Source organism: Homo sapiens, chromosome 5 (assembly GCF_000001405.40).
Source record: "Homo sapiens chromosome 5, GRCh38.p14 Primary Assembly".
Taxonomy (NCBI): domain Eukaryota; kingdom Metazoa; phylum Chordata; class Mammalia; order Primates; family Hominidae; genus Homo; species Homo sapiens.
Genome location: NC_000005.10, coordinates 139,573,209 through 139,596,128, shown reverse-complemented (window position 1 = coordinate 139,596,128; position 22,920 = coordinate 139,573,209). Strand labels below are relative to the sequence as shown.

The following is a 22,920-nucleotide window of genomic DNA, read 5'->3' as shown; positions in this document are numbered from 1 at the left end:
TGAGGTCAGGAGTTCGAGACCAGCCTGGCCAACATGCTGAAACCCCATCTCTACTAAAAATACAAAAATTAGCCGGGCATGGTGGCGCGCGCCTGTAGTCCCAGCTACTCGGGAGGCTGAGGCAGGAGAATTGCCTGAACGAGGGAGGCGGAGGTTGCAGTGAGCCCAGATCTCACCGCTGCACTCCAGCCTGGGTGATAGAGTGAGACTCTGTCTCAAAAAAAAAAAAAAAAAAACAACAAAAAACAAAAAAAAAACCCACAAGAAACTAGTTAATAAATAATTGCCTTTAGGAAGGAAAGCTTAGGGGTGAGAATGAGAACTATATATATTGCTTTTACACATTTTGAATTTTATAAAAGTGTGTATATTGCCCATTTGAAAAATAAATTACCCTTTAAAATTTTCTTTTTCTTTTTTTAACCAACTGGGTCTGTGCAAGAATTATCCTGACTGTAAGTGTGGATTAAAATAGCTGTTAAAAATTGTCATCATGGCTGGGCACAGTGGCTCACCTGAGGTCAGGAGTTCGAGACCAGCCTGGCCAACATGGCGAAACCCCATCTTTACTAAAAGTACAAAAATTAGCCAGGCGTGGTGGGGGCTCCTATAATCCCAGCTACTCAGGAGCCTGAGGCAGGAGAATCGCTTGAACCCAGGAGGCAGAGGTTGTAGTGAGACAACATCGTGCTACTGCACTCCAGCTTGGGTAACAAGAGCGAGACTCCGACTCAAGGAAAAAAAAAAACTGTCATTTGGGGTGTAATCTAAATAGTGAAAACCCAATTATGGCAAATAAACATACAATCTATAAAACTGATATCTCTACATCATGATGAAAACTGAAGTTGAATCTTAAAATTTAATAAAGGCATCGATCTAGTCGGAACATGTGGGCAGAAAAAAATAATACCCAAATATATAAGGCTGTGTTTTAACAGTTGGCTTTAAACGTATACATTAATTTCAACTTTCTATTTTATGAGAAAGAACAATAGGGAAATAAAGTACAGCCAGCCCTCTGTGTCTATGAGTTCCACCAATTGTGGGTCAAATACACTGGGGAAAAAATGATGTCTGTACTGAACATGTGCAGACTTCTTTGGTCATTATTCCCTAAACACCACAGCATAACAACTATTTACAGAGCACTTACACTGTATTAGGTTTTATAAGTAATCTAGAGATGACTTAAAGTATACAGGAAGATGTGTACAGGTTATACGCAAATACTATGCCATTTTATATCAGGGACTTGAGCATCTGTAGATTTTGGTATCCATGGAAGGACCTGGGACCAACCTTTCATGGATACTGAGGCAGGAATGTATATATAATTATGTTTAGAAAAAAGTGATGGGGTAAGGAACTTTGACAGTTAAAGTAGAACATTCTCAATTTATAAAAAGATTATTGACCGGGTGCGGTGGCTCACACCTGTAATCCCAGCACTTTGGGAGGTCGAGGTGGGTGGATCACCTGAGGTCAGCAGTTCAAGACCAGCCTGGCCAACATGGTGAAACCTGGACTGTACTAAAAATACAAAAATTAGTCGGGTGTGGTGGTGTGTGCCTCTAATTCCAGCTACCCAGGAGGCTGAGGCAGGAGAATCGCTAGAACCCGTGAGGCAGAGGCCACAGTGAGCAGAGATCATGCCACTGCACTCCAGCCTGGGCAATAGAGACTGTGTCTCAAAAAAACAAAATTTTTTAAGGAAAAAAAGAAAAAAAACAGATAATTAAAGTAGAACACTGAAACTTTGAAAGCCTAAGACATATATATATATCACAACACTATAGCAAAAAGAAACCCTCTAAATTCCTTGAGGGGAAGGCATCCTTCAAGGGATGTGCAGATTTCCCTTTCACTATATCCTTGAGTAGGCAACTTAAGCTATTAGTTGGTAAAAATTAACGCTTCTTTACAAGCTATTTTTAAACCACCCTCCTTCCCCAATCATAACAATTATGAAACAAAATAAAAATAGCATGGGAAAGATTTGTTTACCCTGTTGGTCCTCACCCTATGGTGTAAGGTGAAAGGAACAAGATGGGAAACTGAGAGAGGTTATAATTAACTTTGTAGAAAAATGGCTCTAAAGTCAAGTTTTAGTAGTCTGAATATTGCTATACAAATCGAGGCTCTTTGGTGGTTAAAATCACACTATGAAAATATTTAAACAAAGATTATGATTCATAGCATTGTAATTTCAGGGCTAGGCACGGTGGCTCATGTCTGTAATCTCCACACTTTGGGAGGCTAAGGTGGGAGGATGGCTTGAGGCCAGGAGCTCCAGACCAGCCTGGTCAACACAGTAAGACTCTATCTCCACAAAAAAAATTTTTTTTAATTAGCCCAGCATGGTGGAGAGAGCCTGTAGTCCTAGCTACCTGGGAGGCTGAGGTAGGAGGATTGCTTGAGCCCAGGAGTTCAAGGCTGCAGTGGATCGTGCCACTATACCCCAGCCTAGGTAACAAAGTGAGACCCCATCTCTAAAAAAAAGTACATATTTTAATATATCTTTTAATGTTACATGTTACATATGTGTTTATTACATACATCAATACCTATTTGTGTGTTATATATAACAATGTATATATAACAATGTATACATTGTTACATATTTTACATATTAAAACATATATTAAAATATGTATGTATATATAAAATTTCAGGGTCATAAGAGATCATTTAGACCTATTCCCAATTTTATAAGAAAACAAAATACAAAGTATCTAACCCAAGGGTAAGGACTTGAGTGTTCTGCTGTACCATGGTTCTTTAAATCTGGATCTAAAATATTAGAAATGTACAAGTTAGAAATGTCTGAGAATCGGCCAGGTGCAGTGGCTCATGCCTATAATCCCAGCACTTTGGGAGGCCGAGGTGGACGGATCACAAGGTCAAGAGATAGAGACCAGCCTGCCCAACGTGGTGAAACCCTGTCTCTACTAAAAATATAAAAGTTAGCTGGGCGTGGTGGCGCTTGCCTGTAGTCCCAGCTACTCAGGAGGCTGAGGGAGGAGAAATACTTGAACCCGGGAGGCGGAGGTTGCAGTGAGCCGAGATCACACCACTGCACTCCAGCCTGGGTAACAGAGCGAGACTCTGCCTCAAAAAAAAAAAAAAAAAGGAAAAAAGAAATGTCTGAGAATCATGTTAATTTGGGAAATTAAGCTGAACCTCTTTTAAGATTACTGAAACTCTTTTAAGATTACTGAAATGCAGCCAAGCGTGGTGGCTCATGCCTGTAATCCCAGCACTTTGGGAGGCCAAGGTGGGTAGATCACGAGGTCAGGAGATCGAGACCCATCCTGGCTAACACAGTGAAACGCCATCTCTACTAAAAATACAAAAAATTAGCCGGGCATCGTGGCACGTGCCTGTAGTCCCAGCTACTCGGGAGGCTGAGGCAGGAGAATCGCTTAAACCCAGGAGGCAGAGGTTGCAGTGAGCCGAGGTCGTGCCACTGCACTCCAATCTGGGCAACAGAGCAAGACTCCATCTCTCAAAAAAAAAAAAAAAAAAAAAAGATTACTGAACTGCAAAGAAACAACAGTTAAACCAGTAGTTCTCAAAACTGAGATACTGACACAGCAGGATCACCATCACAAGGAAGCTTATTAGAAATGCAAATTCACAGGCTCTACCCCACAACTACCAGGTCAGAAACTCTGAGGTGGAGCCAAACTGTTCTAACAAGGCCTCAAGGAATTATAATGCACACCAGAGCTCATTACTTTTATGTCTGATGAGTTAAAAAGCATCAGAGATAAAAGGTGATACTAGAAAACTCACTACCAAGAAGATTTGAGGGGAAAGCACGGGAGGGCAAAGGGCAAAATGGCACAAACTGGAAAAAGAGATGAGACTTAGAAGGCCAAGGTGTGTTCCAGGTTTTCATTTTTTTCCTTTTTCTTTTTTTGTAAGACAGAGTCTTGCTTTGTCGCCCAGGCTAGACTGCAGTGGAGCAATCTTGGTTCACTGCAACCTGTCTTTCCCAAGTTCAAGCAATTCTCCTGCCTCAGCCTCCCGAGTAGCTGGGATTACAGGCGCCCGCCACCAGGCCCGGCTAATTTTTGTACTTTTAGTAGAGATGGCGTTTCACCACGTTGTCCAGGCCGGTCTTGAGAACTCCTGACCTCAAGGGATCCGCCCGCCTCGGCCTCCCAAAGTGCTGGAATTACAGGCATGAGCCACCGCGCCCGGCCCCAGGTTTTCAAGACAGATTGAAGGGGAGCAGTCTGTCATTACTATAGTACCTGCATTCTCCCTGCCTCACTCCTATCTTAACTAGGGTTGCAACAGAAACAATTTAATTTTTACTACTTGCTTATGTTCCCAGCATAACACTTAAGCTAATATTTAAAAACAACTGCTTACATATTTTAAAATTATGAGTTTTTAAAACTCAGGAAATATTAGTAACTCATTAACTTACATGAGTTTGAAAGACATAATTTGACAAATCAAATCATCTGCAGCTGATAGACTTAATCCCTTAGCACTCTCATTTTCTCATTTTCTATTTCTCTCTTAATATTGTTGCCTTCTAGTATAAAGACAGACAAACCGATGGAAACATGTATCAATATCAATCTCTCCCTGAACTAACTATAAGCAGACATGGTAAGCTTATCTGAGATTAAACTGTGTATTCCCTCTAAAAAGATTCAAAGCAACTAAAAGTATAGAAAATACCCACCATGGGTCAGGTGCGGTGGCTCATGCCTGTAATCCCAGCACTTTGGGAGGCTGAGGTGGGTGGATCACCTGAGGTCGGGAGCTTGAGACCAGCCTGACCAGCATGGAGAAACCCTGTCTCTACTAAAAACACAAAGTTAGCTGGGCGTGGTGGTGCATGCCTGTAATACCAGCTACTTGGGAGGCTGAGGCAGGAGAATTGCTTGAACCCAGGAAGTGCAGGTTATGGTGAGCCGAGATTGCACCATGCACTCCAGCCTGGGCAACAACAGCGAAACTCCGTCTTAAAAAAAAAAAAGAGAGAGAGAAAAAGAAAATACCCACCATAGGTTGGGCACAGTGGCTCACACCTGTAATCCCAGCACTTTGGGATGTTGAGGCAGGCGGATCACCTGAGGTCAGGAGTTCGAGACCAGCCTGACCAGCATGGAGAAACGCCCCCCTCTCTACTAAAAATGCATAATTAGCTGGGCATGGTGGCACATGCCTATAATCCCAGCTATTCAGGAGGCTGAGGCAGAAGAATCACTGGAACCCGGGAGGCGGACATTGCAATGAGCCAAGATCGCGCCACTGCACTCCAGCCTGGGCGACAGAGCAAGACTACATCTCAAAAAAAAAAAAAAAAAAAAAAAAAAAAAAGAAGAAGAGAAAATACCCACCATGAACTTACAACCCAGCTTGGCCCAGTCTTAACATCGCCATACTATCTTAGGATCTACGTCCCCTGTGTACCCTCCCAGAACTGATTAATACCCTAAATATACAGTGTTTATCATTCCCATGCATTCTTTTATACTTTTTTCTAAGAGTCCATAAACAAGACAGTACTGTTTACATGTTTTTAAACTTTTATTTAGATAGCGTTACATGGCATGTACTCTTCTGTACTTTGCTTTCCCTCAAAATATTGAGATATTTTTCCACAAAGATACAAAGGTAGATCTAGTTTGTTCCTTTTTCTTTCTTTTTTTTTTTTTTATTTTTTTTGAGACAGAGTCTTGCTCTATTGCCCAGGCTGAAGTGCAGTGGTGTGATCTCAGCTCACTGCAACCTCCGCCTCCTGGGTTCAAGCGATTCTCCTGCAGCCGCCTCCCAGGTAGCTGGGATTACAGGCATCCACCACCACGCCCAGCTATTTTTTGTATTGTTAGTAGAGACGGGGTTTCATCATGTTGGCCAGGCTGGCTTGTTCCTTTTTCTACTACTGTTTATTCTGCTACTCTATGTCTAAACCACAACAGATCCTTTATTTCCTATTTTTCACTATCACAACGATTTGGTAAATATTTTTATACACGAGTATTAGGTAAACATTTTAACTAGAAAGTACCAACCCCTGGCCAGGTGCAATGGCTCACGCCTGTAATCCCAGCACTTTGGGAGGCCAAGGAGGACGGACCACAAGGTCAGGAGATCAAGACCATCCTGACTAACACAGTGAAACCCCGTCTCTACTAAAAACACAAAAAATTAGCCGGGTGTGGTGGCGGGCACCTGTAGTCCCAGCTACTCGGGAGGCTGAGGCAGGAGAATGGTGTGAACCCAGGAGGCGGAGTTTGCAGTGAGCCAAGATTGCGCCACTGCACTCCAGCCTGGGCGACGGAGCAAGACTCCGTCTCAAAAAAAAACAAAGTACCAACCCCCACTTTAAATTATAATTTCCTTGTCAACCCTATAGTTAATGTTTCATACAACAAATGATTTGCTATTTAATTTTGCTATTTATTGAGATGTTTCAACTATTAAAGCCATTTTCTTCTAAATAAATCACTACTTTCTAAGTGTATTTTAAAAACTCTAGACAGCCTTCATTTCAATAATTGTTTCCATCAAAACAAACACTGTATGCAACTGTTGTTTTTTGGCTATTTTTTTGAGACAGGGTCTCACTGTCGCACAGGCTGGAGGATCTCGGCTCACTGCAACCTCCACCTCCCAGGTTTAAGCAATTCTCCCACCTCAGCCTCCCAAGTAGCTAGGACTACAGGCACACACCAACATGCCTGGCAAATTTTTGTACTGTTTGTTAGAAACAGGGTTTCACTATATTGGTCAGGCTAGTCTCGAACTCCTGACTTCAAGTGATCCGCCCACCTTGGCCTCCCAAAGTGCTGGGAATACAAGCACGAGCCACCGTGCCCGGGCTATTTTTTTTTTCTTTAAGAGACAGAGTCTTGCTCTGTCACCCAGGCAGGAATGCAGTGGCCTGATCATAGCTCACTGTATCCTTGAATTCCTGGGCTCAAGTAATTCTACCACTTCAGCCTCCCAAGTAGCTGGGATTACAGGTGCAAACCAAAGACGCTCTGCTAAGAAGATTAAAGCAAGGGAGGCTGACTGTGGTGGCTCATGCCTGTAATGTCAGCACTTTGGGAGGCCAAGGGAGGATAGCTTCAGCCCAGGAGTTTGAGACCAGCCTGGGCAACATAGGGAGACCTTGTCTCTACAAAACATTTAAAAATCAGCTGGGCATGGTGGTGTGCACCTGTAGTCCCAGCTATTCAGGAGGCTGAGTCGCTGGAACTACAAGCAGGAGGATCTACAACTGGGAGGATCACTTGAGCCCAGGAGGTCGAGGCTGCAATGAGTAGCCACTGCACTTCACCCTGGGTGACAGGGCAAGACCCTATCTCAAAAAACAAAAGAAGTTACATCAGGTTCCAGGAAATCCTTTAAAAATACGATCTGTGTGACAATGTTGACAGCTTCCAGTAGTGATCAAATATACAGCTAATACTTAATTTTTGGATTACAATATTTTCTCTAGGTAAAAAAGATTTTTCTCATGAAGCCTATCCCTTTTAATGATATGTTATATAAAGATATTAGCAAAATTTGTCATTTATATAATCTAATTTGTTGTACTACTATATTTAGATAAAAATTAAAAGCTTACACTATCACAACCCAGAAAGTAAAGCTAAACAAGGCCCAGCCTGGCCAACATGGTAAAACCCATCTCCACTAACAATACAAAAATTAGCCAGATATGGTGGCACATTCCTGTAGCCCCAGCTACTTGGGAGGCTGAGGCAGGAGAATAGCTTGAACCTGGGAGGCGGAGGTTGCAGTGAGCTGAGATCGCGCCACTGCACTCCACTCCACTCCAGCCTGGGCGACACAGCAAAACTCCCTCTGTCTCAAAACAAAACAAAACAAAACAAAAAAAAAAACGCTAAACAAGGCAAGGCAGGTGCAGTGGAGGCTGAGGCAGTAAGACTGCTTGAGGCCAGGAGTTCAAGACCAGCCTAGGCAACACAGCAAGACTCCATCTCTACAAAATAGAAACATTTAGCCAGGCATGGTGGCACACATCTGTAATCCCAGCCACTTGGGAGGCTGAGGCTGGGGGATCACTTGTGCCCAGGAGTTGGAGACTGCAGTGAGCTATGGAGAGACAGGACTAGCTGGATTTCCTAGACCAAGAATCCCTAAGCCTAGCTGGGAAGGTGACCGCGTCCACCTTTAAATACGGGGCTCGCAACTTAGCTAATACCCGACCAATCAGAGAGCTCACTAAAATGCTAATTAGGCAAAAACAGGAGGTAAAGAAATAGCTAATCATCTACTGCCTGAGAGCACAGCAGGAGGGACAATGATCTGGATATAAACCCAGGCATTTGAGCTGGCAATGGCTACCCTCTTTGGGTCCCCTCCCTTTGTATGGGAGCTCTGTTTTCACTCTATTTCACTCTATTAAATCTTGCAACCGCACTCTTCTGGTCCGTTTTTTTTTTTTTTTTTTTTTTGAGATGGGGTCTTGCTCTGTCGGCCAGGCTGGAGTGCAGTGGCGCGACCTTGGCTCACTGCAAGCTCCGCCTCCCAAGTTCATGCCATTCTCCTGCCTCAGCCTCCCAAGTTGCTGGTGGTGCCCGCCACCACGCCCGGCTATTTTTTTTATTTTTAGTAGAGACGGGGTTTCGCCATCTTAGCCAGGATGGTCTCAATCTCCTGACCTCGTGATCTGCCCATCTCGGCCTCCCAAAGTGCTGGGAATACAGGCGTGAGCCACCACGGCCTCATCCATGTTTGTTATGGCTTGAGCTGAGCTTTCGCTCGCTTTCCACCACTACTGTTTGCTGCTGTCGCAGAGCCGCTGCTGACTTCCATCCCTCCGGATGGAGCAGGGTGTCCACTGTGCTCCTGATCCAGTGAGGCACCCATTGCCACTCCCGATTGGGCTAAAGGCTTGCCATTGTTCCTGCATGGCTAAGTGCCTGGGTTCATCCTATCCAGCTGGAACACTAGTCACTGGGTTCTACGGTTCTCTTCCGTGACCCACAGCTTCTAATAGAGATATAACACTCACAGCATGGCCGAAGATTCCATTCCTTGGAATCCATGAGGCCAACAACCCCAGGTCAGAGAACACGAGGCTTGCCAACATCGTGGAAGTGGCCCACCACCATCTTGAGAGCTCTGGGAGCAAGGACCCCTGTTAACACTATGATAGTGCCACTGTACTTCAGCCTAGGCAACAGACTCTGTCTCTAAAAAGATTTTTTTATAAAAACTAAACAAGGCACTATATTGTATTTATGCTGATAAAGTAAACGGACTAAAATTCTGTTTAACAAAAGAAGATGCTGATTACCCTAACATAAAACAAATAATTCAAAAAACTATAGACATTTTAAAGAAAATTCTTTTTTTTTTTGAGACGGAGTCTCGCTCTGTCGCCCAGGCTGGAGTGCAGTGGCGAGATCTTGGCTCACTGCAAGCTCCACCTCCCGGGTTCATGCCATTCTCCTGCCTCAGCCTCCTGAGTAGCTGGGACTACAGGCACCCACCACCACGCCCGGCTAATTTTTTGTATTTTTAGTAGAGACAGGGTTTCACTATGTTAGCCAGGATGGTCTCCATCTCCTGACCTCGTGATCCGCCCGCCTCGGCCTCCCAAAGTGTGGGGATTACAGGCGTAAGCCACTGTGTCCAGCCTAAGAAAATTCTTTTTTAGACTCATCATTGACCTTAAATACAAAACCAGATCTACACTTGAAGAGGGGGTGGAGGGTGTTAGTTAGAATCAGGAAGTCAGAGAATAAGGTCTATCACTGTTAAGTAAGAAAAGTCAGCTATGGGAAAAGCAGTTTTAAAGTCAGTGAGTTCCATCTTATAAGTTATTTATATCCAATAAATTGCAGTTTACACATTAAAATTTGCCTACCACGTTTAAAGTTTCACAAAGGAGAAACCAATATGAAATTCTGAGATTTAAAAAAAAAAAAAAATTCTAAGCTAGACCCCAGATAATCTTTATCTTCACAACAGCAGTTATGGTTTTAAAACATCAACATTAAACATTTGCAATTAAAAAGAATAGACTTATCTTTCTTAGGATGAAAAAGATCTTAACTCTTTATTCTCTATGGGCCTCCTTTTCCTAGGAAGCTATTTTATTAACTGTACTATACAAATCTAGTATCATATATGGTACTATATAGCTGTATTTCTTTCTTCTTTTTTTTTTTTTTTTTTTTTTTTTTGAGACAGAGTCTCGCTCTGTTGCCAGGCTGGAGTGCAGTGGCACAATCTCGACTCACTGCAATCTCCACCTCCCGGGTTCAAGTGATTCCCCTCCCTCAGCCTCCCTATGTTTCATTTTTAATTTATCCACAACTACCAAAAGTTAACCTCTGCACAAACTCTTCTCTACCCCTTTAATGTTTAATTATGACTCCTTGAATGAGAGACAAGGTATATCATATTCTTCACTGCATTCTGTAGAGACTGGAACATTAGAGGCACTCAAATGTCTGAGTGGATTAATGCTTAGTAGGGTACCAACCAGAATTAGTGCTCAAATACTTACAAAGGCACATAAAAAATTTCCAAAAGGAAGTCTAGTCCATTCAGCCCAATCACCAATAGCGGCAGGAAACAGAAAGTCTATAGGCCAGGCACAGGGACTCATGGCTATAATCCCAGCACTTTGAGAGGCTGAGGCTGGAGGACTGCTTCAGCCCAGGAGCTCGAGATCAGTTTGGTCAACAAAGTGAGACCCTGTCTCTACAAAAAATTAACAACAACAACAACAAAAATTAGCGGGGATGTGGTAGCACATTCCTGTAGTACTAGCTACTCAGGAGGCTGAGGCAGTAAGATTACTTGAGCCCAGAAGTTTGGGGCTGCAGTGAGCTATAATCTCACCACTGTACTCCAACCATCTTGGGGGATGGGGTAAAACTCTGTCTCAAAAAAAAAAAAAAAAGACCTGCACGCAGCCGGGCACCGTGGCTCACACCTGTAATCCCAGCACTTTGGGAGGCTGAGGTGGGTGGATCATGTGAGGTGCGGAGTTCGAGACCAGCCTAACCAACATGGAGAAGCCCTGTCTCTACTAAAAATACAAAATTAGCTGGGCGTGGTGGTGCATGCCTGTAATCCCAGCTACATGGGAGGCTGAGGCAAGATAATCACTTGAACCCAAGAGATGGAGGTTGCAGTCAGCCGAGATCGCGCCACTGCACTCCAGCCTGGGCAACAAGAGCGAACCTGTGTCTCAAAAAAAAAAAAAAAAGTTAGTTTATAGTGACATACACAATATATTATGATGTAATTACTGAACTTGAATGAAAAAGGTGTTTTGGGCTAGGCACGGTGGCTCACGCCTGTAATCCCAACACTTTGGGAGGCCGAGGCAGGTGGATCACCTGAGGTCAGGCGTTCGAGACCAGCCTGACCAACATGGTGAAACCCGGTCTCTGCTAAAAATACAAAAATTAGCCGGGTATGGTGGCACATGCCTGTAATCCCAGCTACTAGGGAGGCTGAGGCAGGAGAATCGCTGGAACCCAGGAGGCAGAGGATGCAGTGAGCCGAGATCGCGCCACTGCACTCCAGACTGGGCAACAAGAGCGAAACTCTTGTCTCAAAAAAAAAAAAAAAGAAAAGAAAAGAAAAAAGAAAAAGGTGTTTTGGGGTAAATGTGTAAAACACGAGAGAACAAGGAGTTTCTTTGAGTACTTTAGCAACCACTGAGATGGAAATGTGTTATGAAGAGAATATAGTCATGCTAAACTTAACGAAAGGCATACATTCTGAGAAATGTGTAGCTGTAGGAACATCAAAGTGTACTTACACAAACCGAGATGGTATAACCTAGGCCACATGGTATACAGCCTTATTGCTCCTAGGCTAGAAACCTATACAGCATATTACTGTGCTGAATACTGCAGGCAACTATAACACAATAGTATCTGTGTATCCTAAATATATCTAAACAGAAAAGGTATGGTAAAAACATGAGGAAAAAAAGGTAAAAAAATGGCACACCTCTATAGGGCACTCATCATGAACAAAGTCTGCAAGACTGGAAGTTGCTCTGGATGAGTCCGTAATGAATGAATGTGAGGGCCTAGGACATTACTGATTATTGTACACTACTGCAGACTTTATAAACACTGTACACTCAGGCTATAATAAACTTATTATTTTTTTAATTTACTTTTTCAAAAAAGGAATTGCGCTACAAGAGCTATGTCACTAGGCAACAGGAATTTTCTGGCTCCATTATCTTATGGGACCACTGTCATAATATCATCTGTCATTGACCAAAATGTCATTATGTGGCATATGACCATATTCTCTATTCATTCAAGAACCTTTCCTATTTTACCTTTAACTATCCTTTGTTCATTTCACAACTTCTTTTTCTTTCGAGATGGAGTCTCGCTCCGTCGCCCAGGCTAGAGTGCAGTGGCATGATCTCAGCTCACTGCAACCTCCACTTCCTGGGTTCAAGCAATTCTCCTGTCTCAGCCTCCCGAGTAGCTGAGACTACAGGCACCTGACACCACGCCCAGCTAATTTTTGTATTTTTAATAGAGACAGGGTTTCACCTTGTTGGCCAGGTTGGTCTCGAACTCCTGTCCTCAGGTGATCCACCCACCTCAGCCTCCCAAAGTTCTGGGATTACAGGCGTAAGCCACTGCACCTGGCCAACTTCTTTAAATTGACAAAATTGTATATATTTGTCATGCACAACATGTTGTTCGGAAATATGAATACATTGTAGAATGGCTAAATTGAGCTAATTAACGTATGTATTACCTCACATACTTATTTACTTCACATACTTACTTCTTTTGGTAGTGAAAACACTTAAAAAATCTACTCTCAGCAATTTTTAAGAATACATTGTTATTGGCCGGATGCAATGGTTCATGCCTGTAATCCCAACACTCTGAGAGGCTTAGGCAGGTGGATCACCTGAGGTCAGGAGTTTGAGACCAGTCTGGCCAACATGGTGAAACCCCGTCTCTACTAAAAATACAAAAATTACCCGGGTGTGGTGGCACATGCCTGTAATCCCAGCTACTAGGGAGGCTGAAGCGGGAGAATCACTGGAACCCAAGAGGCGGAAGATGGAGTGAGCCAAGATCGTGCCATTGCACTCCAGCCCGGGCGACAAAGCGAGACGCCGTCTTCAAAAAAAAAAAAAAGAAAAAAAAGCCGGGCGCAGTGGCTCACGCCTGTAATCCCAGCACTTTGGGAGGCCGAGGCGGGCAGATCATGAGGTCAGGAGATCAAGACCATCCTGGCTAACACGGTGAAACCCCATCTCTACTAAAACTACAAAAAATTAGCTGGGCGTGGCGGCGGATGCCTGCAGTCCCACCTACTTGGGAGGCTGAGGCTGGAGAATGGAGTGAACCCAGGAGGTGGAGTTTGCAGTGAGCCGAGATTGAGCCACTGCACTCCAGCCTGGGCGACAGAGCAAGACTCTGTCTCAAAAAAAAAAAAAAAAAAAAAATTCGAATCTAAATCGCTTCGAAATCTGAAAGTTTTTCTGAGTGCTGACATAATGCCACAAGTAGAAAATTCCACACCTGGTCGCATGTGGTAGGCAGCAGTTAAAACACTGTTAAATTTTATTTCATGAACAAAATTATTTAAAATATTGTGTAAAGGCCAGGCACAGTGGCTCACGCCTGTAATCTCAGCACTCTGGGAGGCCGAAGTGGGAGGATCACTTGAGGTCAGGAGTCCAAGACCAGCCTGGCCAACATTGTGAAACCCCGTCTCTACTAAAAATACAAAATTAGCTGGACGTCACCTGAAACCAGGAAGCAGAGGCTGCAGTGAGCTAAGATCATACCACTGCACTCCGGCCTGGGCAACAGAGCAAAACTCCATCTCAAAAAAAAAAAAAATTGTGTAAGGCCTATAATCCTAGCACTTTGGAGGCCAAGGCAGAAGGATGACTTGAGTCCAGGAGTTCAACACCAGCCTAGACAACATAGTGAGGCCTTGTCTCTACAAAATTAGCTGGGCGGCAGTGCCTATACACCTGTACACCACAGTGCCTACAGTCCTTGGGAGGATGGCTTGAGCACTGGAGTTTAAGACTGCCATCAGCCATGATCACACTATTGCATCGCACTCCAGCCTGGGCAACAAAGTGAGACTCTATCTTCAAAAAAAAACAAAAACAAAAAAAAACCCCAAAAAAACAGCTGGCACAGTAGCTCACGCCTGCAATCCCAGCACTTTGGGAGGCCATGGCGGCCAGATCACAAGGTCAGGAGTTTGAAACCAGCCTGACCAACATAGTGAAACTCCGTCTCTACTAAAAATACAAAAACTACCCAGGCATGGTGGCGCGCGCCTGTAATCCCAGCTACTCGGGAGGCTGAGGCAGGAGAATAGCTTGAACTCGGGAGGCAGAGGTTGCAGTGAGCCAAGACTGCACCACTGCACTCCAGCGTGGGTGACGGATCGAGACTCCATCTCAAAAACAAACAAACAAACAAACAAACTACATAAAATTATGTTCAGGCTCCAAAAAATTGTGCAAGGCCTATATGAAACATAAATCAATTCTGTGTTTAGACTTGGGTCCCATCCCCAAGATATCTCATTTCATTATGTATATGCAAATATTCCAAAATCCGAAAAAATTCAAAATCTGAAACACTTAGCGTCCTAAGCATTTTGGATAAGGAATGCTCAACCTCTACTTTTTTTTTTTGAGACGGAGTCTTGCTCTGTCACCCAGGCTAGAGTGCAGTGGCGTGATCTCGGCTCACTGCAACCTCCGCCTCTTGGGTTCAAGCGATTATCCTGCCTCAGCCTCCTCAGTAGCTGGGATTACAGGCGCTCACCACCGCACCCGGCTAATTTTTTGTTATTTTTAGTAGAGATGGGGTTTCACCATCTTGGCCAGGCTGGTCTCAAACTCCTGACCTCATGATCCACCCGCCTCGGCCTCCCAAAGTGCTGGGATTACAGGCGTGAGCCACCACGCCCAGTCTACTTTTTCTTAATTAACTTTTAAATTTCAACCACTCCAGGACTATAGGAACACTCTGCCTAGAATATTCTTCCCATCCTCTCCTCCCCCACATCCACCTTCAGGCTTCACTTAAATATTGCCCTTAGAGACCTTCCCAGAAGCCCTTTTCCGCCATTTCAATTTATTTCTTATTAAGTACTACGGTAAAGCCCAGGTTGCTTTAACAACTTTATACAGTTCCTATTTGTCTGTGTGATTATTATTATTTGAGACAGAGTCTCACTCTGTCGCTCAGGCTGGAGAACAGTGGTGTGAATCATAGCTCACTGAAACCTTAAACTACGCTCATGCAATACTGCCTTAGCATCCCGAGTGAGCTGAGACTACCAGCACATGCCACCACACCTGGGTGTTGCTTATTTTAAAAAATATTTTGTAGTGGCTGGGCACGGTGGCTCACGCCTGTAATCCCAGCACTTTGGGAGGCTGAGATGGGTGGATCATGACGTCAGGAGATCGAGATCATCTGGCTAACATGGTGAAACTCCGTCTCTACTAAAAATACAAGAAATTAGCCGGGTGTGGTGGCACATGCCTGTGGTCCCAGAGGCAGGAGAATTGCTTAAACCCGGGAGGCGGAGGTTGCAGTAAGCCGAGATCGCGCCACTGCACTCCAGCCTGGGTCACGCAGCGAGACTCCGTTTCAAAAAAGAAAAAAATTTGTAGAAACAGGGTCTCACTCTGTTACGCTGTCCCAGCTGGCCTTATACTCCTGGACTCAAGCCATCCACTCTCCTCAGCCATTCAAAATGATAGGATTGGCCAGGCAGGGTGACTCACGACTGTAATCTCAGCACTTTGGAAGGCTGAGGTGGGCGTAACACTTGAGCCCGGGAGTTCGAGACCAGCCTGGGCAACATGATGTAACCCCACCTCTAATAAAAATACAAAAAATTAGCTGGGCATGATGGTACATGCCTGGAGAATCACCTGAGCCCAGGAAGTTGAGGCTGCAGTAAGCTATGGTTGCTCCATTGCACTCAATGCTGGGTGACAAGAGTGAGACTCTGTCTCAAAAAAAAGTACTAAGATTACAGACATGAGCCTTATCTATGGGAACAACTTTTTTTTTTTTTTTTGAGAGGGAGTCTCGCTCTGTTGCCCAGGCAGGTGTGCAACGGCATGATCTCAGCTCACTGCAACTCTGCCTCCCAGGTTCAAGCAATTCTCCTGCCTCAGCCTCCCGAGTAGCTGGGATTACAGGCGCGTGCCACCATGCCCGGCTAATTTTTTGTATCTTTAGTAGAGACAGGGTTTCACCATGTTGGCCAGGCTGGTCTCGAACTCCTGACCTCGTGATCTGCCCACCGCGGCCTTCCAAAGTGCTGGGATTACAGATGTGAGCCACCGCGCCCAACATCTATGTGATTATTTAATGTCTCTTGACCCAGTAACAAATAGGGACCTGACTTCCAGCTTTTTGCACAGTGCCTGGTCCATGAAAACTGCCCAGTAAATATCTGTTGAAGAACCAGATAGTTACAATTACAGTGACTGTCACTGATTGTAAGACTTTTTAAAAAAAACATAGCTGAGGCTGGACACAGTTGTTCATGCCTGTAATCCCAGCACTTTGGGAGGCCAAGGTGGGCGGATCATCTTGAGGTCAGGAGTTCCCAAACCAGCCTAGCCTTGCTAGCAAGACAAAACCCCATCTCTACTAAAAATACAAAAATTAGGCCAGGCACAGTGGTTCACGCCTGTAATCACAGCACTTTGGGAGGCCAAGGCAGGTGGATCACCTGAGGTCGGGAGTTCGAGACCAGCCTGACCAACATGGAGAAACCCCATCTCTACTAAAAATACAAAATAAACCGGGTGTGGTGGCGCATGCCTGTAATCCCAGCTTCTCAAGATGCTGAGGCAGGAGAATTGCTTGAACCGGGGAGGCAGAGGTTGCAGCGAGCCAAGATCGCACCATTGCACTCCAGCCTGGGCAACAAAAGCGTAACTCCATCTCAAAAAAATTTAAAAAATTAAAATACAAAAATTAGCTGGGTGTGGTGGCACACACCTGTAATTCAAGCTACCCAGGAGGCTGAGGCAGGAGAATCACTTGAACCTGGGAGGCAGAGGTTGCAGTGAGCTGAGATTGTGCCACTACACTCCAGCCTGGGCAACAGAGTGAGACTTCGTCTCAAAAATAAATAAATAAATAAATAAACAAAAATAAAACATAGCTGAAATCAAGCTGCATATAATCAATGGCATGTCAGCTTAATTGGCACTAAATATACTTTCCTTCTTAGTAGAATAATGGTACATCTTTCAATTGATGTGTTTCAGAGTCAACGAAATAAGGTACATGGAAAGGCAATAACCTCATTCTCTGATACTGCAGCCATGGGATCATATACCTAACAAAACAGAAGTTTAGCAGAGTGGGGTGGCTGTCTGTAATTCCAGCACTTTAGGAAGCTGGGGCAGGAGGATCACTTGAATACAGGAGTTTGAGAGCAGCCTGGGCCACACAGCAAGACCCTATCTCTACAAAAATTTTTTTAAAAAGCCAGGTATGGTAGCACACACCTGCTGTCCCAGCTACTGGAAAGGCTGAGGTGGGAGGATCACTTAAGCCCAGAGGGTCAAGGCTGCAGTGAGCCGTGATTGTGCCACTGCAGTCTAGCCTGGACAACAGAGCAAGACCCTGTCAAAACACACACACACACACACACACACACACACACACAAAACACAAAACAGAAGTTTAGAATTTTGGCAACCAGAGCCAAGGCAGAAAATAACTAAGTGAATGAGAGAGACAGGACAGGAAAATCGTAGGTATTCCAGTAAAACTACTTCTACTTCTATAGCAAGTAGGGGAACAAAAGTATTAGGAAGTATACATAGTACCAAAAGCAGATCAGACAAACAGCTGTTCCTTGCAACTAACTCCAGGAGATGAGGAGCAGTGGTAGCGACTCCACAGAGAATCTCTGTCAGGATCTGAAATTCCATCTATTTTTAGTTACTGAAGCAGTGGTCTCTGCTCTCTACCCACTCTATGTCCACAACAAGGGTGGCACATAGCCAGGTAGATGGGAAGAGTCTATGTGAATAGACAGATGGTGGAGCACCTATGCCAAAAGACTTCACCCTCACTAGGCTTCAAAGGAAACACTGAAATGCGAGGAAAAGGGCTTCCTTCCTGGCATTTGCGCAAGGATCTCCTCCACCAGCTGAATCCCTCCTTAGTAACTACATAGCAAACCAGAAACCTAAAGAACTTATTTGCTGGGTTACTGACACCCTCTTCTGTAACACTAATCACACATGTACCGCAGTACGAAGCTTGAGAAAATGTGGTGGTGGGGGGAGATGAATGCTAGTATCATTAACTTGGTGTGTTTCTGTGCTACTTAATATAGGTGGATAGTGGAGACCTTAAAGAGATGCCAACTGGCTGGCCAGGAGCCAGTGCAGTGGCTCATGCCTGTAATCCCAGCACTTTGGGAGGCCAAGGCAGGTAGATCACCTGAGGTCAGGAGTTCGAGACCAGCCTGACCAATATAATGAAACCCCATCTTTACTAAAAATACAATAATTAGCCAGACGTGGTGGCATGCACCTGTAATCCTAGCTACTCGAGAGGATGTGAGAGGAGAATTGCTTGAACCCGGGAGGCGGAGATTGCAGTGAGCCGAGATCACCCCATTGCACTCCAGCCTGGGCAACAAGAGTGAAACTCCCATCTCAAAAAAAAAAAAAAAAAAAAAAAAAGAGAGATGCTAACTGGCATCCTGTTTTCTACTATACTCTGTAAAACTATGATCACCCAAAAGAACCTGCATGAACTATTTTTAGTAAGAAGCATACAGGTAAGTTTCAGTACTCTGATGTTTTGAAATACAATATGTAAAAACTGTTAACCTAAAACTGTAAATCCTTGAAACTTAAAAGTAATACTTTTCATGGACTTTACTCTTTCAAAGCACAGGTGGTTAAGTTTCTGTTTTACAAATTCTCCAACACTAACCTAGAGTGTTCAAAATGATGAGTCTGACCACGGTTACCACCGTCTTCCTACAGACAGACAATCTCTATAAGATGGGTAGATCAATAGTCACATAAACTGTTAAATTTTACTATGCTACAAGACTGGCTCTCTATTTGCAAAATTCATATGAATAACATAAGAGCAAAAAAAAAAAAAAAAATTCAAGTTAAAAAAAAAAAAAAAAGGCCAGATCCAAGTTTCAAGCCTGGGAGTATATTTCAGAACAATTATTCAAAACACCAACTGACAGAGATTTTTGTGGCTCCCTTGAACATTCCAGCCTCCAAAACTAGACATGAGAGACTATTAACAAAAATGTGAACAGGTACATCTAAAGAAATGTCTTTTTAAAATTACATTTTATGTAAGCTTAGAGATGGGAGCACCTTTGTTGACAATGAAAGCACCCGAGATGGCATTTAATCAAGTATCATCTACTACAGTAATAAAAAGAATTTACTGGCTGGGCGCAGTGGCTCATACCTGTAATCCCAGCACTTTGGAAGGCTGAGGCGGGCAGATCACGAGGTCAGGAGATTGAGACCATCCTGGCTAACAACGTGAAACCCCATCTCTACTAAAAAACAAAAAATTTGCCGGGCGTGGTGGCACGTGTCTGTAGTCCGTCTCAAAAAAAAAAATCATCTTTGGGTTACGTGGATGGGCAAGTTTAATGACAAGTGGCCATATAAGACACAAAAGAGAAGACACACACAGAGAAGGTGATACAAAGATGGAGGCAGATGCTGGAGTGATGTAGCCACAAACCAAAGGAGCCAAGGAATGCTGACATCCACCAAAGTTGGAAGAGGCAAGGAAGGATTCTCCCCTAGAACATCCAGAGTATGGACCTGAAGACAGACTGACTTTAGACTGCTGGCCTCCAGAACTGTGAGAGAATATAGTTCTGTTACTTTAAGCCACCCGGTTTGTGGTAATTTATTATGGCAACCCTAGGAAACTAATACAGATGGTATAAATATGTAAACATTTAATCTAAAGAAAATCACGCACTCCATTAGTGTGCTATTATTTTAAGAAATCTAAAACTCCTACCATTGAGGCTTTTGTAAAAATCAACTTTGATTTCAAGGCTTGTCTTGTTTTGAGTCAGGATCTCGCTCTGTCACCTAGGCTGGAGTGCAGTGCAGATTATAGCTCACTGCCGCCTTGAACTCTGGGCCTCAAGAGATCCTCCTCTTCCACCTCAGTCTTCCCAGTAGCTATGACTACAGGCGTGTGCCACCAAACCTGGCTAAGTTTTGCAGTTTTTGTAGAGAAGGGGTCTTGCTGAATTGCTCAGGCTGGTCTCCCAGCCAAGTGATTCTCCCACCTTGGCCTCCCAAAGCACTGAGATTATAGGCATGAGCCACTGTACCCAGCTAATTTCAAAGTTTTTCCCTGACATAAGCCCTTAAGAATTTAGCAAAGCAATTCTATCACTTATATTGGCATGATGCATTACAGGTGGTGGGGTTAGTGCTCAAAGGATAGCAGCAGACACTTCTATAATAAGATGTTTAAGAGAATTGATTTCACAATTCTAGACCTACAAAAATATCACATGTATTAAAAACATATTAAGGTGACAGTATTTTGAAGTTTGCTGAAGAATACTGGGATTCAATCCCTTTTTTAGTTTAGAAATATTATAAGACTTCATTCTTTTCACATTCAGGTTTTTCTTTTTTTGCTTGGGGTGACGATGAAGTAAAAGTGAAACATATATTTAACACTGACACCTAAGATTTTGAGATTATACCAATTCCGTAGGTCAACATTATTGGCATGTTAAGACACCATGATAATATTTAAAAACTTAAAAAAAGAAAAGTCCACCAAATCTAAGAAGCCCCTTTCCTCTGTAATGTCCCTCTAGTGCCCTCTATTGACAAAGCCCAACATGTTGTTCACTGCAAAGGTGAAAGAGTCCAGCTCTTCACCAGCTGAAATACATACTTCAGAAGTTATTTAGTCAAAGCAGAGCAAGTACGGGAGGGTGAACTTGGAGCCAACTAATAAACTGCTAAGTGGCAGGGTTGTTTCACTATTTGTTCCTTTTTATTGGTGGGTAATGCTCCATCCAGTATATGGATTTTCTACATTTTGTTTACATATTCAGCTAATGATGGATATCTGAGTTGTTTCTAAGTATCGGGTACTGTGAATAAAACTGCCAAGCACATTTGTAAAAAATAACAACAAAATTATCTTTTATGTAGTCCAAAATGCTAAACCCTCTTCTATCTAATCTTCCCCACAGGCTTGCAGGGTACAATTCCCATTCTACAGACAAGGAAGCTGAGGCTCAGGAAAATTCGCAAAGTGACTTGCCTAAGGCCACAAATGCTCCAAAATTCCACCTTTTCTTTTCTTTTTTTTTTTTTTTTTTGCCACCCCACCTGATATTGGCATTCACTGAATGTTGTTGGCAAACACAGAATACCATGCTTTAGGTACTAGGAATACGAAGAATAAGACAAGAACTTTGCCCAGGAGAGTTCAGTCTAAATAGGGGAATAATCAATCATGTCTACACACTAAGAAACGATTCTACAGTTGAACTCTGACTGCCTGTATGCCTCATGCATGCTTCCTAGAGAAGCCATTTCTGCTGGGTCCCCAAGTATGAATAAAGAATTTAGGAGGTAGGGGATGGGGTGAGAAGAGATTCTCTGTATAAGCAAAGGCACTGAACAAAGACCGGAGAACATGATTCTAGGAAGGACCAACTACAAGCGTTACAACTACAGCAGCATTCCCCAGGAGATACTAATTACTAATATGTATTATAGTAATAAAGACAGTAATATTTTTCTTCTAAATTTTACTTTTTTTTTTTTTTTTGAGACAGAGTTTCACTCTCGTTGCCCAGGCTGGAGTGCAGTGTGCAATCTCAGCTCACTGCAACCTCCGCCTCCCAGGTTCAAGCAATTCTCCTGACTCAGCCTCCTGAGTGGCTGGGATTACAGGCCCCCACCACCACGCCATAGCACTCCAGCCTGGGCAACAAGAACGAAACTTCGTCTCAAAAAAAAAAAAGAGAGAAGTTATTTAATCGAAGCTTATTATATATTAAATATTTCAAGTGTACTCATTCCCAATTGACTTATATCTAGGAGAGAGACATTTTTTATTATTTATTTATTTATTTATTTAGAGACAGTCTCGCTCTGTCGCCCAGGCTGGAGCGCAGTGGCGTGATCTCAGCTCACTGCAAGCTCCGCTTCCCGAGTTCAAGCCATTCTCCTGCCTCAGCCTCTCAAGTAGCTGGGATTACAGGCACCCGCCACCACACCTGGCTAATTTTTTTTGTATTTTTAGTGGAGATGGGGTTTCCCCGTGTTAGCCAGGATGGTCTCGATCTCTTGACCTCGTGATTCGCCCGCCTCAGCCTCCCAAAGTGCTGGGATTACAAGCTTGAGCCACTGCGCCCGGCCGAGAAAGACATTTTAAATGGAAAGCAGAGTCCTTTGATTCCTAAGCCCAAGTAGTCGTATTATTTCAAAATAAACACAAGCAAAGAACAGGCATTTTTCAGAAAAATTAGGGTGACCTATCCATGATGGGATAATTAATAATGTCAGCAGCAGCCTAACTGCAAAATATGCAGTCTGTATTCTTTCTTTTGCTACAATGTATCTGTTGGAAACAAATTTTCATATTATACTGCAATGAAAACAATATACAGTAAGACATTTAAAGGAGTACCTGATGAGGATGACTTTTATTATGTAAGAAAAATACTATTCTTAAAACTGATAGCAAAATAAGAATGACAGATGTTTCATCTTGATAGTACTTTTTTTTTTTTCTTTTTTTTTTTGAGATGGAGTTTCGCTCTGTCGTCCAGGCTGGAGTACAGTGGTGCGATCTCGGCTCACTGCAAGTTCCGCCTCCCAGGTTCACGCCATTGTCC

At 43.5% G+C, this 22,920-nt stretch overlaps 1 protein-coding gene across 4 annotated transcripts in view, besides 2 other annotated features; it reads right to left on the bottom strand.

Annotated features, from left to right (window-relative positions):
- The window catches only part of UBE2D2 (ubiquitin conjugating enzyme E2 D2), a 102,195-nt gene that overhangs the window by 32,306 nt on the left and 46,969 nt on the right, over positions 1-22,920 (bottom strand). Inside the window, exon 1 of one of the 4 annotated variants that reach the window (XM_047417690.1) lies at positions 10,520-10,713. The exons of the other annotated variants lie outside the window; for them this stretch is intronic. Within the exon in view, the coding sequence (XP_047273646.1) occupies positions 10,520-10,621 (102 nt within the window). The 5' untranslated portion in view covers positions 10,622-10,713. Of the gene's footprint in view, positions 1-10,519; positions 10,714-22,920 lie in introns of those variants that run through there. 4 annotated transcript variants of the gene reach the window in all.
- Positions 18,528-18,577: an enhancer, noted in NCBI's record as "active region_23245". NCBI's record gives its function as "activates an Ori minimal core promoter by ATAC-STARR-seq in GM12878 lymphoblastoid cells {active_cell/tissue: GM12878}" and the evidence as "EXISTENCE:reporter gene assay evidence [ECO:0000049][PMID:35858748]".
- Positions 20,252-20,381: an enhancer, noted in NCBI's record as "active region_23244". NCBI's record gives its function as "activates an Ori minimal core promoter by ATAC-STARR-seq in GM12878 lymphoblastoid cells {active_cell/tissue: GM12878}" and the evidence as "EXISTENCE:reporter gene assay evidence [ECO:0000049][PMID:35858748]".